The sequence below is a fragment of the Homo sapiens genome, chromosome 9, assembly GCF_000001405.40.
Source record: "Homo sapiens chromosome 9, GRCh38.p14 Primary Assembly".
Taxonomy (NCBI): Eukaryota; Metazoa; Chordata; class Mammalia; order Primates; family Hominidae; genus Homo; species Homo sapiens.
The window spans coordinates 40830342-40841825 of NC_000009.12; the positions used below are offsets into that span (position 1 = coordinate 40830342).

Below are 11484 nucleotides of genomic sequence, written 5' to 3' on the forward strand. Positions count from 1 at the left end.
ACCCTCTTTTAGTGGAATCTGCAAGTGGATATTTGGACTGCATTGAGGCCTTCTTTGAAAATGGGAGTATCTTCACATAAACACTAGACAGAAGCATTCTGAGAAACTTCTTTGTGATGTGTGCATTCAACTCACAGAGTTGAACTTTTCTTTTGATAGAGCAGGTTTGAAACACTCTTTTTGTAGAACCTGCAAGTGGACATTTGGAGAGATTTGAGGCCTATGGTGGAAAAGGAAATATCTTCCAATAAAAAATAGAAGGATTCTCAGAAACTTCTTTGTGATGTTTGCGTTTGCCTTACAGAGTTGAACACACTTTATCATAGAGCAGTTTTGAAACACTCTTTGAGTAGAATCAGCAAGTGGATATTTGGACCCCTTTGAGGCCTTCGTTGGAAACGGGAATATCTTCACATAAAAACTAGACAGAAGCATTCTCAGGAACTTCTTTGTGATGTGTGCATTCAACTCACAGAGTTGAACCTTTCTTTTGATAGACCAGGTTTGAAACACTCTTTTTGTAGAATTTGCAAGTGGATATTTGGAGAGCTTTGTGGCCTACCGTGGAAAAGGAAATATCATCAAATAAAAACTAGACAGAAGCATTCTCAGAGACTTGTTCGTGATCTTTGCATTCAACTCACAGAGTTGAACATACCTTATAATAGAACAGTTTTGAAAGACTCTTTTACTAGAATTTGCAAGAGGATATTTGGAGTGTTTTGAGACCAACATTGGAAACGGGAATATCTTCACATAAACACTAGACAGAAGCATTCTCAGAAAGTTCTTTGTGATGTGTGCATTCAACTCACAGAGTTGAACGTTGCTTTTGATGGAGCAGTTTTGACAAACTCTTTTTGTAAAATCTGCAATTGGATATTTGGAGAGCTTTGAGGCCTATGGTCAAAAAGGAAATATCTTCACATAAAAGCTACAGAGAAGCATTCTCAGAAACTTCTTGGTGATGTGTGCTTTCAACTCACAGAATTGAACCTTGCTTTTGATAGAGGAGGTTTGAAACACTCTTTTTGTGGAATCTGCAAGTGGATATTTGGACCACTTTGAGGCCTTCATTGGAAATGGGAATATCTTCACATAATCACTAGACAGAAGCTTTCTCAGAAACTTCTTTGTGCTGTGTGCATTCAGCTCAGAGAGTAGAACCTTTCTTTTGATAGAGCAGGTTTGAAACACTTTTTTCATAGAATCTGCATGTGGATATTTGGACCGCTTTGAGGCCTTCGTTGGAAACGAGAGTATTTTCACTTAAACACTAGACAGAAGCATTCTCAGAAACTAATTTGTGATGTGTGCATTCAACTCACAGAGTTCAACCTTCCTTTAGATAAAGCACGTTTGAAACACTCATTTTGTAGAATCTGGAAGTGGACGTTTGAAGAAATTTGAGGCCTACGGTGGGAAAGGAAATGTCATCACATAAAAACTAGACAGAAGCATTCTCAGAAACGTCTTTGAGATGTGTGCATTCAACTCACAGAGGTGTACCTTCCTTTTCATAGAGCATTTTTTAAACACACTTTTCGTAGATTCTGCAAGTGGATATTTGGACCGCTTTGAGGCCTTCGTTAGAAACGGGAATATCTTCACATAAAAACTAGACAGAAGCATTTCAGAAACTTCTTTGTGATGTGTGCATTCAACTCACAGAGTTGAAACTTTCTTTTGCTGGAGAAGGTGTTAAACACTGTTTTTGTGGAATATAAAAGTGGACATTTGGTGCGCTTTGAGGCCTATGGTGGAAAAGGAAATATCTTCACATAAAAAATAGACAGAATCATTCTCAGAATCTTGTTTTTGATGGATGCATTCAATTCACAGAGTTGAACATGCTTTATTATAGAGCAGTTTTGAAACACTCTTTTGTAGAATCTGCAAGTGGATATTTGGACCACTTTAAGGCCTTCTTTGGAAAGGGGTATATCTTCACATAAACACTAGACAGAAGCATTCTCAGAAACTTCTTCGTACTGTGTGCATTCAACTCGGTGAGTTGAACCTTTCTTTTGATAGAGCAGTTTTGAAACACTCTTTTTGAAGAATCTGCATGTGGATATTTGGACGGCTTTGAGACCTTCTTTGGAAACTGTAATATCTTGACATAAACACTAGACAGAAGCATTCTCAGAAACTTCTTTCGGATGTGTGCATTCAACTCGCAAATTTGAACGTACCTTATCATGGAGCAGTTTTGAAACTCTCTTTTAGTGGAATCTGCAAGTGGATATTTGGACCGCTTTGAGGTCTTCGTTGGAAACAGGAATATCTTCACATAAACACTAGACAGAAGCATTCTCAGAAATTTCTTATTGATGTGTGCATTCAACTCACAGAGTTGATCTTTTCTTTTGACAGAGCAGGTTTGAAACACTCTTTTTGTAGATTCTGCAAGTGGACATTTGGAGAGATTTGAGGCCTGTGGTGGAAAAGGAAATATCTTCATATAAAAACTAGACAGAAAAACTCTCCAAAACATCTTTGTGATGTTTGCATTCAATTCACAGAGTTGAACATATCTTTTCATAGAGCAGTTTTGAAACACTCTTTTCATAGAATCTGCAAGTGGATATTTGGAATGCTTTGAGGCTTACGTGGGAAACGGAAATATCTTCACATAGAAACTAGACAGAAGCATTCTCAGAAACTTCTTTGTAATGTGTGCGTTCAACTCACAGAGTTGAAACTTTCTTTATATAGAGCAGGTTTGAAACACTCTTTTTGTAGAATCTGCAAGTGGACATTTGCAGCACTTTGATTCCTATCGTGGAAAAGGTAATATCATCACATAAAGACTAGACTGTAGCTTTCTCAGAAACTTCTTTGTGATGTTTGCATTCAACTCACAGAGTTGAAAATACCTCTTCATAGCGCAATTTAGAAACTCTCTTTTTGTAGAATGTGCAAGTTGATATTTGGAACTCTGTGAGGCCTTCGTTGGAAACCGGGAATAACTTCACATAAAAACTAGACAGAAGCATTCTCACAAACTTCTTTCTGATGTGTGCATTAAACTCACAGATTTGGACCTTGCTTTTGATAGAACAGATTTGAAACACTCTTTTTTTAGAATCTGCACGTGGGCATTTGGAGCACTTTGAGGCCTATGGTGGAAAAGGAAATATCTTCACATAAAAACTACACAGAAGCATTCTCAGAAACTTCTTCGTGATGTGTGCATTCACCTCAGAGAGTTGAACGTTTCTTTGGATAGAGCAGTTTTGAAACACTCTTTTTGTAAAATCTGCAAGTGGATAGATGGAATGCTTTGCGGCCTTCGTTGGAAACGGGAGTATCTTCACATAATCACTAGACAGAAGCTTTCTCAGAAACTTTTTTGTGCTGTGACATTCAAGTAAGGGAGTTGAACCTTTATTTTGAAAGAGCAGGTTTGAAACACTCTTTTTGTGGAGTCTGCAAGTGGACATTTGGAGAGTTTTGAGGCCTATGGTGGAAAAGGAAATATCTTCACGTAAAAACTACACAGAAGCATTCTCAGAAACTTCTTTGTGATATTTGTATTCAACTCACAGAGTTGAACTTTCTTTGATAGAGCAGTTTTGAACCAATCTTTTTGAAGAAACTGCAAATGGATATTAGGACAGCTTTGAGGCCTTCATTGAAAACGGGAATGTCTTTACATAAACACTAGACAGAAGCATTCCCAGAAACTTCTCTGTGATGTGTGTATTCAATTCACAGAGTTGAACCTTTCTTTTGATAGAGCAGGTTTGAAACAATCTTTTTGGAGGATCTGAAGTGAACTTTTGGAGAGCTTTGAGGCCTATGGTGGAAAAGGAAGTATCTTTATATAAAAAGCAGGCAGAAGAATTCTCATAAAATTCTTTGTGATCGTGCATTCAACTCACAGATTCGAACATACATTTTGATAGAGCAGTTTTGAAACACTCTTTTAGTAGAATCTGCATGTGGATATTTTTACCGCTTTGAGGCCTTCGTTGGAAACGGGAATATCTTCACATAAAAAATAGAAGCATTCTCGGAAACTTCTTTTGATGTTTGTTTTCAACTCACAGATTTCAACGTACCTTATCATAGAGTAGCTTTGAAACACTCTTTTAGCAGAATCTGCACGTGCATATTTGGAGAGCTTTGAGGCTTGTCGTGGAAAAGGAAATATCATCATATAAAAACTAGACAGAAGAATGCTCAGAAACATCTTTGTGATGTTTGCATTCAACTCAAAGAGTTGAACATACCTTTTAATAAAGCAGTTTTGGAACACTCTTCGTGGAATCTGCAAGTGGATATTTGGAATGCTTTGAGGCCTTCATTGGAAACGGGAATATCTTCACATAAAAACTAGACAGAAGTATTCTCAGAAAATTCTTTAGGGTGGTTGCATTCAACACACAGAGTTGAACATACCTTGTCCTAGAGCAGTTTTGAAACACTCTTTTTGTAGAATCTGCAAGTGGATATTTGGACCGCTTTGAGGCTTTCGTTGGAAACGGGAATATCTTCACATAAACAGTAGACAGAAGGATTCTCAGACTCTTCTTTGTAATGTGTGCTTTCAACTCACAGAGTTTAACCATTCTTTTGATAGAGCAGGTTTGAAACACTCTTTTTGTAGGATCTGCAATTCGACATTTTGAGAGCTTTGAAGCCTACGGTTCAAAAGGAAATATCATCACATAAAAAGTAGACAGAAGCATTCTCAGAAACTACATTGTGATGTTTGCATTCAACACACAGAGTTGAACATAACTTTTCATGGAGCAGTTTTGAAACACTCTTTATGTAGAAGCTGCAAGTGGATATTTGGATAGCTTTCAGGACTTCGTTGGAAACGGGAATATCTTCACATAAAAACTAGAGAGAAGCATTCTCAGAAACTAGTTTGTGAGGTTTGCATTCAACTCACAGAGTTGAACATACTTTATCATAGAGCAGTTTTGAAACACTCTTGTAGTAGAAGCTGCAAGCGGATATTTGGACCGCTTTGAGGTCTTCGTTGGAAACGGCATTATCTTCACATAATCACTAGACAGATGCTTTCTCAAAAACTTCTTTGTACTGGGTGCATTCAACTCACAGAGTTAACCTTATTTCATCGAGCAGGTATGAAACACTCTTTTTGTAGAATCTGCAATTGGACATTTGGAGAGCTTTGAGGCCTATGGTGGAAAAGGAAATATCTTCACACAAAAACTAGACAGAAGCATTCTCAGAAACGTCTTTGTGGTGTTTGCATTCAACTCACAAAGTTGAAGATACCTTTCCATGGAGCAGTTTTGAGACACTCTTTTTGTAGAATCTGCAAGTGGATATTTGGACCGCTATGAGGCCTTCGTTAGAAATGGAAATATCTTCTCATAAACACTAGACAGAAGCATTCTCAAAAACTTCTTTGTCATGCGTGCATTCAACTCACCGAGTTGAACATACTTTGTCATAGAGCAGTTTTGAAGCACTCTTTTAGTAGAATCTGCAAGTGGATATTTGGACCGCTTTGAGGCCTTCATTGGAAACGGGAATATCTTCACATAAAAACTAGACAGATGCATTCTCAGAAACTTCTTTGTGATGTGTGTATTCAACATAAAGATTTGAACCTTTCTTTTAATAGAGCAGGTTTGAAACACTCTTTTTGTAGAATCTGCAAGTGGACATTTGGAGAGCTTTGAGGCCTATGGTGGAAAAGGAATTATTTTCTCATAAAAACTAGACAGAAGCATTCTCAGAAACAACTTTGTGATGTGTTCATTCAACACAAAGAGTTGAAGGTTTCTTTTGATATAGCAGGTTTGAAATACTCTTTTTGTAGAATCTGCAAATGGACATTTGGAGAGCTTTGAGGCCTATGGTGGAAAAGGAAATATCTTCACACAAAAACTAGACAGAAGCATTCTCAGAAACGTCTTTGTGGTGTTTGCATTCAACTCACAAAGTTGAAGATACCTTTCCATGGAGCAGTTTTGAGACACTCTTTTTGTAGAATCTGCAAGTGGATAATTGGACTGCTATGAGGCCTTCTTTAGAAATGGAAATATCTTCTCATAAACACTAGACAGAAGCATTCTCAAAAACTTCTTTGTCATGCGTGCATTAAACTCAAAGAGTTGAACCTTTCTTTTGATAGAGTAGCTTTGAAATACTCTTTTAGTAGAATCTGCAAGTGGACATCTGGAGAGCTTTGAGGCCTATGGTGTAAAAGGTTATATCTTCATATAAAAATTAGAGAGAAGAATTCTCAGAAACTTCTTTGTGATGTTTGCATTCAACTCAGAGTTGAACGTACCTTTTCATAGAACAGTTTTGAAACACTCTTTTCCTAGATTCTGCAAGTGGATATTTGGAACGCTTTGAGGCCTTCGTTGGAAACGGGATTATGTTCACACAAAAACGGGCAGAAGCATTCTCAGAAACATCTTTGTGATGTGTGCATTCAACTCAAAGAGTTGAAACTTTCTTTTGATAGAGCATGTTTGAAACACTCTTTTTGTAGAATCGGCACCGGACATTTTTAGAGCTATGAGGCCTATGGTGGAAAAGGAAATATCTTTAAATAAAAACCAGACAGAAGAATTCTAAGGAACTACATTGTGATGTTTGCATTCAACTCATACAGTTGAACATACCTTTTGATAGAGCAGTGTTGAAACACTCTTTTTGTAGAATCTGCAAGTGAATATTTGGACCGCTTTGAGGCCTTCATTGGAAACGGGAATATCTTCACATAATCACTAGATAGAAGCTTTCTCAAAAACTTTTTTGTACTGTGTGCATTCAACTCACGGAGTTGTACCTTTCTTTTGATGGAGCAGGTTTGAAACACTCTTTTTCCAGAATCTACAAGTGGACATTTGGAGTGCTTTGAGGCCTATGGTGGAAAAGGAAATATCTTCCCATAAAAACCAGACAGAAGCATTCTCAGAAAGTTCTTATGATGTGTGCATTCAATTTACAGAGTTGAACATACCTTATCATAGAGCACTTTTGAAACACTCTTTTAGTAGAATCTGAGAGTGGATATTTGCACTGCTTTGAGGCCTTCCTTGGCAACGGGATTATCTTCACATAAACACTAGACAGAAGCATTCTCAACAACTCCTTTGTGATGTGTGCATTCAACTCACAGAGTTGAACCTTTCTTTTCATAGAGCAGGTTTGAAACCGTCTTTTTGCAGAATCTTCAAGTGGACATATGGCAAGCTTTGAGGCCTATGATGGAAAAGGAAATATCATTATATAAAAACCAGACAGAATAATTCTTAGGAACTACTTTGTGATGTTTGCTTTCAAATCACAGGGTTGAACATACCTCTTCATAGAGCAGTTTTGAAGCACTCTTTTTGCAGAATCTGCAAGTGGATATTTGGAATGCTTTGAAGCCTTCGTTGGAAACGGGAATATCTTCAAATAAACACTAGATAGAAGCATTTCAGAAACTTCTTTGTGATGTGTGCATTCAACTCACAGAGTTGAAGCTTTCTTTTGATAGAGCAGGTTTGAAACACTCTTTTTGTAGAATCTGCAAGTGGATATTTGAACAACTTTGAGGCCTTCATTGGAAAAGGAGATATCTTCACATAAACACTAGACAGAATCGTTCTCAGAAACTTCTTTGTGATGTGTGCATTCCACTCACAGAATTGAACCTTTCTTTTGATAGAGCAGGTTTGAAACACTTTTTTTGTAGAATCTGCAAGTTGACTGTTGGAGAGCTTTGAGGCCTATGGTGGAAAAGGAAATATCTATAAATAAAAACTAGACAGAAGCATTCTCAGAAACTTCTCTGTGATGTTTGCATTCAACTCACAGAGTTAAACCTCCCTTTTCATAGAGCAATTTTGAAACACTCTTCTCTTATAATCTGCAAGTGGATATTTGGACTGTTTGAGGCCTTCGTTGGAAACAGGAATATCTTCACATAAAAACTAGACAGAAGCATTCTCAGAAACTACTTTTGATGTATGCATTCACCTCACAGAGTTGAACCTTTCTTTTCATAGAGCAGGGTTGAAACACTCTTTTTGCAGGATCTGCAAGTGGATATTTGGAGCTCTTTGAGGCCTATGGTGAAAAAGGATATATCTTCACATAAAAACTAGACGGAAGCATTCTCATAAACTTATTTGTGATGTGTGCATTCAACTCACAGAGTTGAACCTTTCTTTTGATAGAGCAGGTTTGAAACATTCATTTTGTAGAATCTGAAGTGCACATTTGGAGAGCTTTGAGGCCTATGGTGGAAAAGGAAGTATCTTCACATAAAAACTAGAGAGAAGCGTTCTCAGAAACTTCTTTGTGGTGTGTGCATTCAACTCACAGAGTTGAACCTCTCTTTTCATAGAGCAGGTTTGAAACATTCTTTTCTTAGTATCTGCAAGTGGATATTTGGAGAGCTTTGAGTCCTATGGTGGAAAAGGAAATATCTTCACACAAAAATTAGACAGAAGCGTTCTCAGAAACGTCTTTGTGATGTTTGCATTCAACTCACAGAGTTGAAGATACCTTTCCTTGGAGCAGTTTTTAGACACTCTTTTTATAGAATCTGCAAGCGGATATTTGGACCGCTATGAGGCCTTCGTTGGAAACGGGAATGTCTTCACATAAACACTAGACAGAAGCATTCTCAAAAACTTCTTTTTCAGGTGTGCATTAAACTCAAAGAGTTGAACCTTTCTTTTCATAGAGCAGCTTTGAAACACTCTTTTTGTAGAATCTGCAAGTTGACATTTGGAGAGCTTTGAGGCCTATGGTGGAAAAGGTTATATCTTCATATAAAAATAAGAGAGAAGAATTCTCAGAAAATTCTTTACGATGTTTGCATTCAACTCACAGATTTGAAGATACCTTTTCATAGAGCAGTTTTGAAACACTCTTTTTGTAGAATATGCAAGTGGATATTTGAAACGCTTTGAGGCCTTTGTTGGAAACGGGAATATGTTCACACAAAAACAGGCAGAAGCATTCTCAGAAACTTCTTTGTGATGTGTGCATTCAACCCCAAGAGTTGAAACTTTCTTTTCATAGAGCATGTTTGAAACACTCTTTTTGTAGAATCTGCAAGTGGACATTTGGAGAGCATTGAGGCCTATCGTGGAAAAGTAAATATCTCACATATAAACTAGAGAGAAGCATTCTCAGAAACTACTTTGTGATGTGTGCATTCTACTCACAGAGTTGTACCTTTCTTTTGATAGAGCAGTTTTGAAACACTCTTTTTGTAGAATCTGCAAGTGAACATTTGGACCGCTTTGAGGCCTTTGTTGGAAACGGGAATATCTTCACATAATCACTAGACAGAAGCTTTCTCAAAAACTTTTTTGAACTGTGTGCATTCAACTGACAGATTTGAACTTTTCTTTTGATAGAGCAGGTTTGAAACACTCTTTTTCTAGAATCTGCAAGTGGACATTTGGAGCGCTTTGAGGCCTATGGTGGAAAAGGAAATATCTTCCCATTAAAAACTAGACAGAGGCATTCTCAGAAACTTCTTATGATGTGTGCATTCAAATCACAAGGTTGGACATACCTTATCATAGAGTACTTTTGAAACACTCTTTTTGTAGAATCTGCAAGTGGATATTTGCACTGCTTTGAGGCCTTCATTGGCAACGGGATTATCTTCACATAAACACTAGACAGAAGCATTCTCAGGAACTTCTTTGTGATGTGTGCATTCAACTAACAGAGTTGAGCCTTTCTTTTCATAGAGCAGGTTTGAAGCCCTCTTTTTGTAGAATCTTCAAGTGGACAAATGGCGAGCTTTGAGGCCTATGGTGGAAAAGGAAATATCATTATATAAAAACAAGACAGAAGAATTCTCAGGAACTACTTTGTGATGTTTGCTTTAAAATCACAGGGTTGAACATACCTCTTCATAGAGCAGTTTTGAAGCACTCTTTTTGCAGAATCTGCAAGTGGATATTTGGAACGCTTTGAAGCCTTCATTGGAAACGGGAATATCTTCAAATAAACACTAGATAGAAGCATTCTCAGAAACTTCTTTGTGATGTGTGCGTTCAACTCACAGAGTTGAAGCTTTCCTTTAATAAAGCAGGTTTGAAACACTCTTTTTGTAGAATCTGCAAGTGGATATTTGAACCACTTTGAGGCCTTCGTTGGAAAAGGGGATATCTTCACATAAACACTAGACAGAATCATTCTCAGAAACTTCTTTGTGATGTGTTCATTTCACTCACAGAATTGAACCTTTCTTTTGATAGAGCAGGTTTGAAGCACTTTTTTTGTAGAATCTGCAAGCAGACATTTGGAGAGCTTGGAGGCCTATGGTGGAAAAGGAAATATCTATAAATAAAAACTAGACAGAAGCATTGTCAGAAACTTCTTTGTGATGTTTGCATTCAACTCACAGAGTTGAACCTCCCTTTTCATAGAGTAGTTTTGAAACACTATTTTCGTAGAATCTGCAAGTGGATATTTGGACCACTTTGAGGCCTTCGTTGGAAACGGGAATATCTTCACATAAAAACTAGACAGAAGCATTCTCAGAAACTACTTTGTGATGTGTCCATTCAACTCACAGAGTTGAACCTTCCTTTTCGTAGAGCAGGGTTGAAACACTCTTTTTGCAGGATCCGCAAGTGGACATTTGGAGCTCTTTTTGGCATATGGTGGAAAAGGATATATCCTCACATAAAAACTAGACAGAAGCATTCTCATAAACTTATTTGTGACGTTTGCATTCACCTCTCAGAGTCTAACATACTTTATCATAGAGCAGTTTTGAAACACTCTTTTAGTAGTATCTGCAAGTGGATAATTGGAGGGCTTTGAGTTCATTGGAAACGGGAGTATCTTTACATAATGATGCTTTCTCAGAAATTTCTTTGTGCTGTGTGTATTCAACTCACAGAGTTGAACCTTTCTTTTTATAGAGCAGGTTTGAAACACTCTTTTGCGGAATCTACAAGTGGACATTAGGAGCGCTTTGTGGCCTATGGAGGAAAAGGAAATATCTTCACATAAAAACTAGACAGAAGCATTCTCATAAACTTATTTGTGACGTTTGCATTCAACTCTCAGAGTTTAACATACTTTATCATAGATCAGTTTTGAAACACTCTTTTAGTAGTATCTGCAAGTGTATAATTGGACGGCTTTGAGGCTTTCGTTGGAAACGGGAGTATCTTCACACAATGAAGCTTTCTCAAAAACGTCTTTGTGCTGTGTGCATTCAACTCACAGATTTGAAATTTTCTTTTGATGGAGCAGATTTGAAACACTCTTTTTGTAGAATTTGCAAGTGGATATTTGGACAGCTTTGAGGCCTTCCCTGGAAACGGGAGTTTCTTCACATAAAAACTAGACAGAAGCATTCTAGGAAAATTCATTTTGATGTGTGCATTCAACTCAGAGAGTTGACCCTTCTATTGATAGAGCAGGTTTAATACTCTTTTTGCAGAATCTGCAAGTGGACATTATGAGCGATTTGATGTCTATGGTGGAAAAGGAAATATCTTCACATTAAAA

General features: G+C 37.4%; 1 annotated feature.

Annotated features, from left to right (window-relative positions):
• Positions 955 to 1456: an enhancer, noted in NCBI's record as "NANOG hESC enhancer chr9:66784324-66784825 (GRCh37/hg19 assembly coordinates)". NCBI's record gives its function as "activates a minimal SCP1, AML or CMV promoter by ChIP-STARR-seq in primed H9 embryonic stem cells {active_cell/tissue: H9 hESC(primed)}" and the evidence as "EXISTENCE:reporter gene assay evidence [ECO:0000049][PMID:30033119]".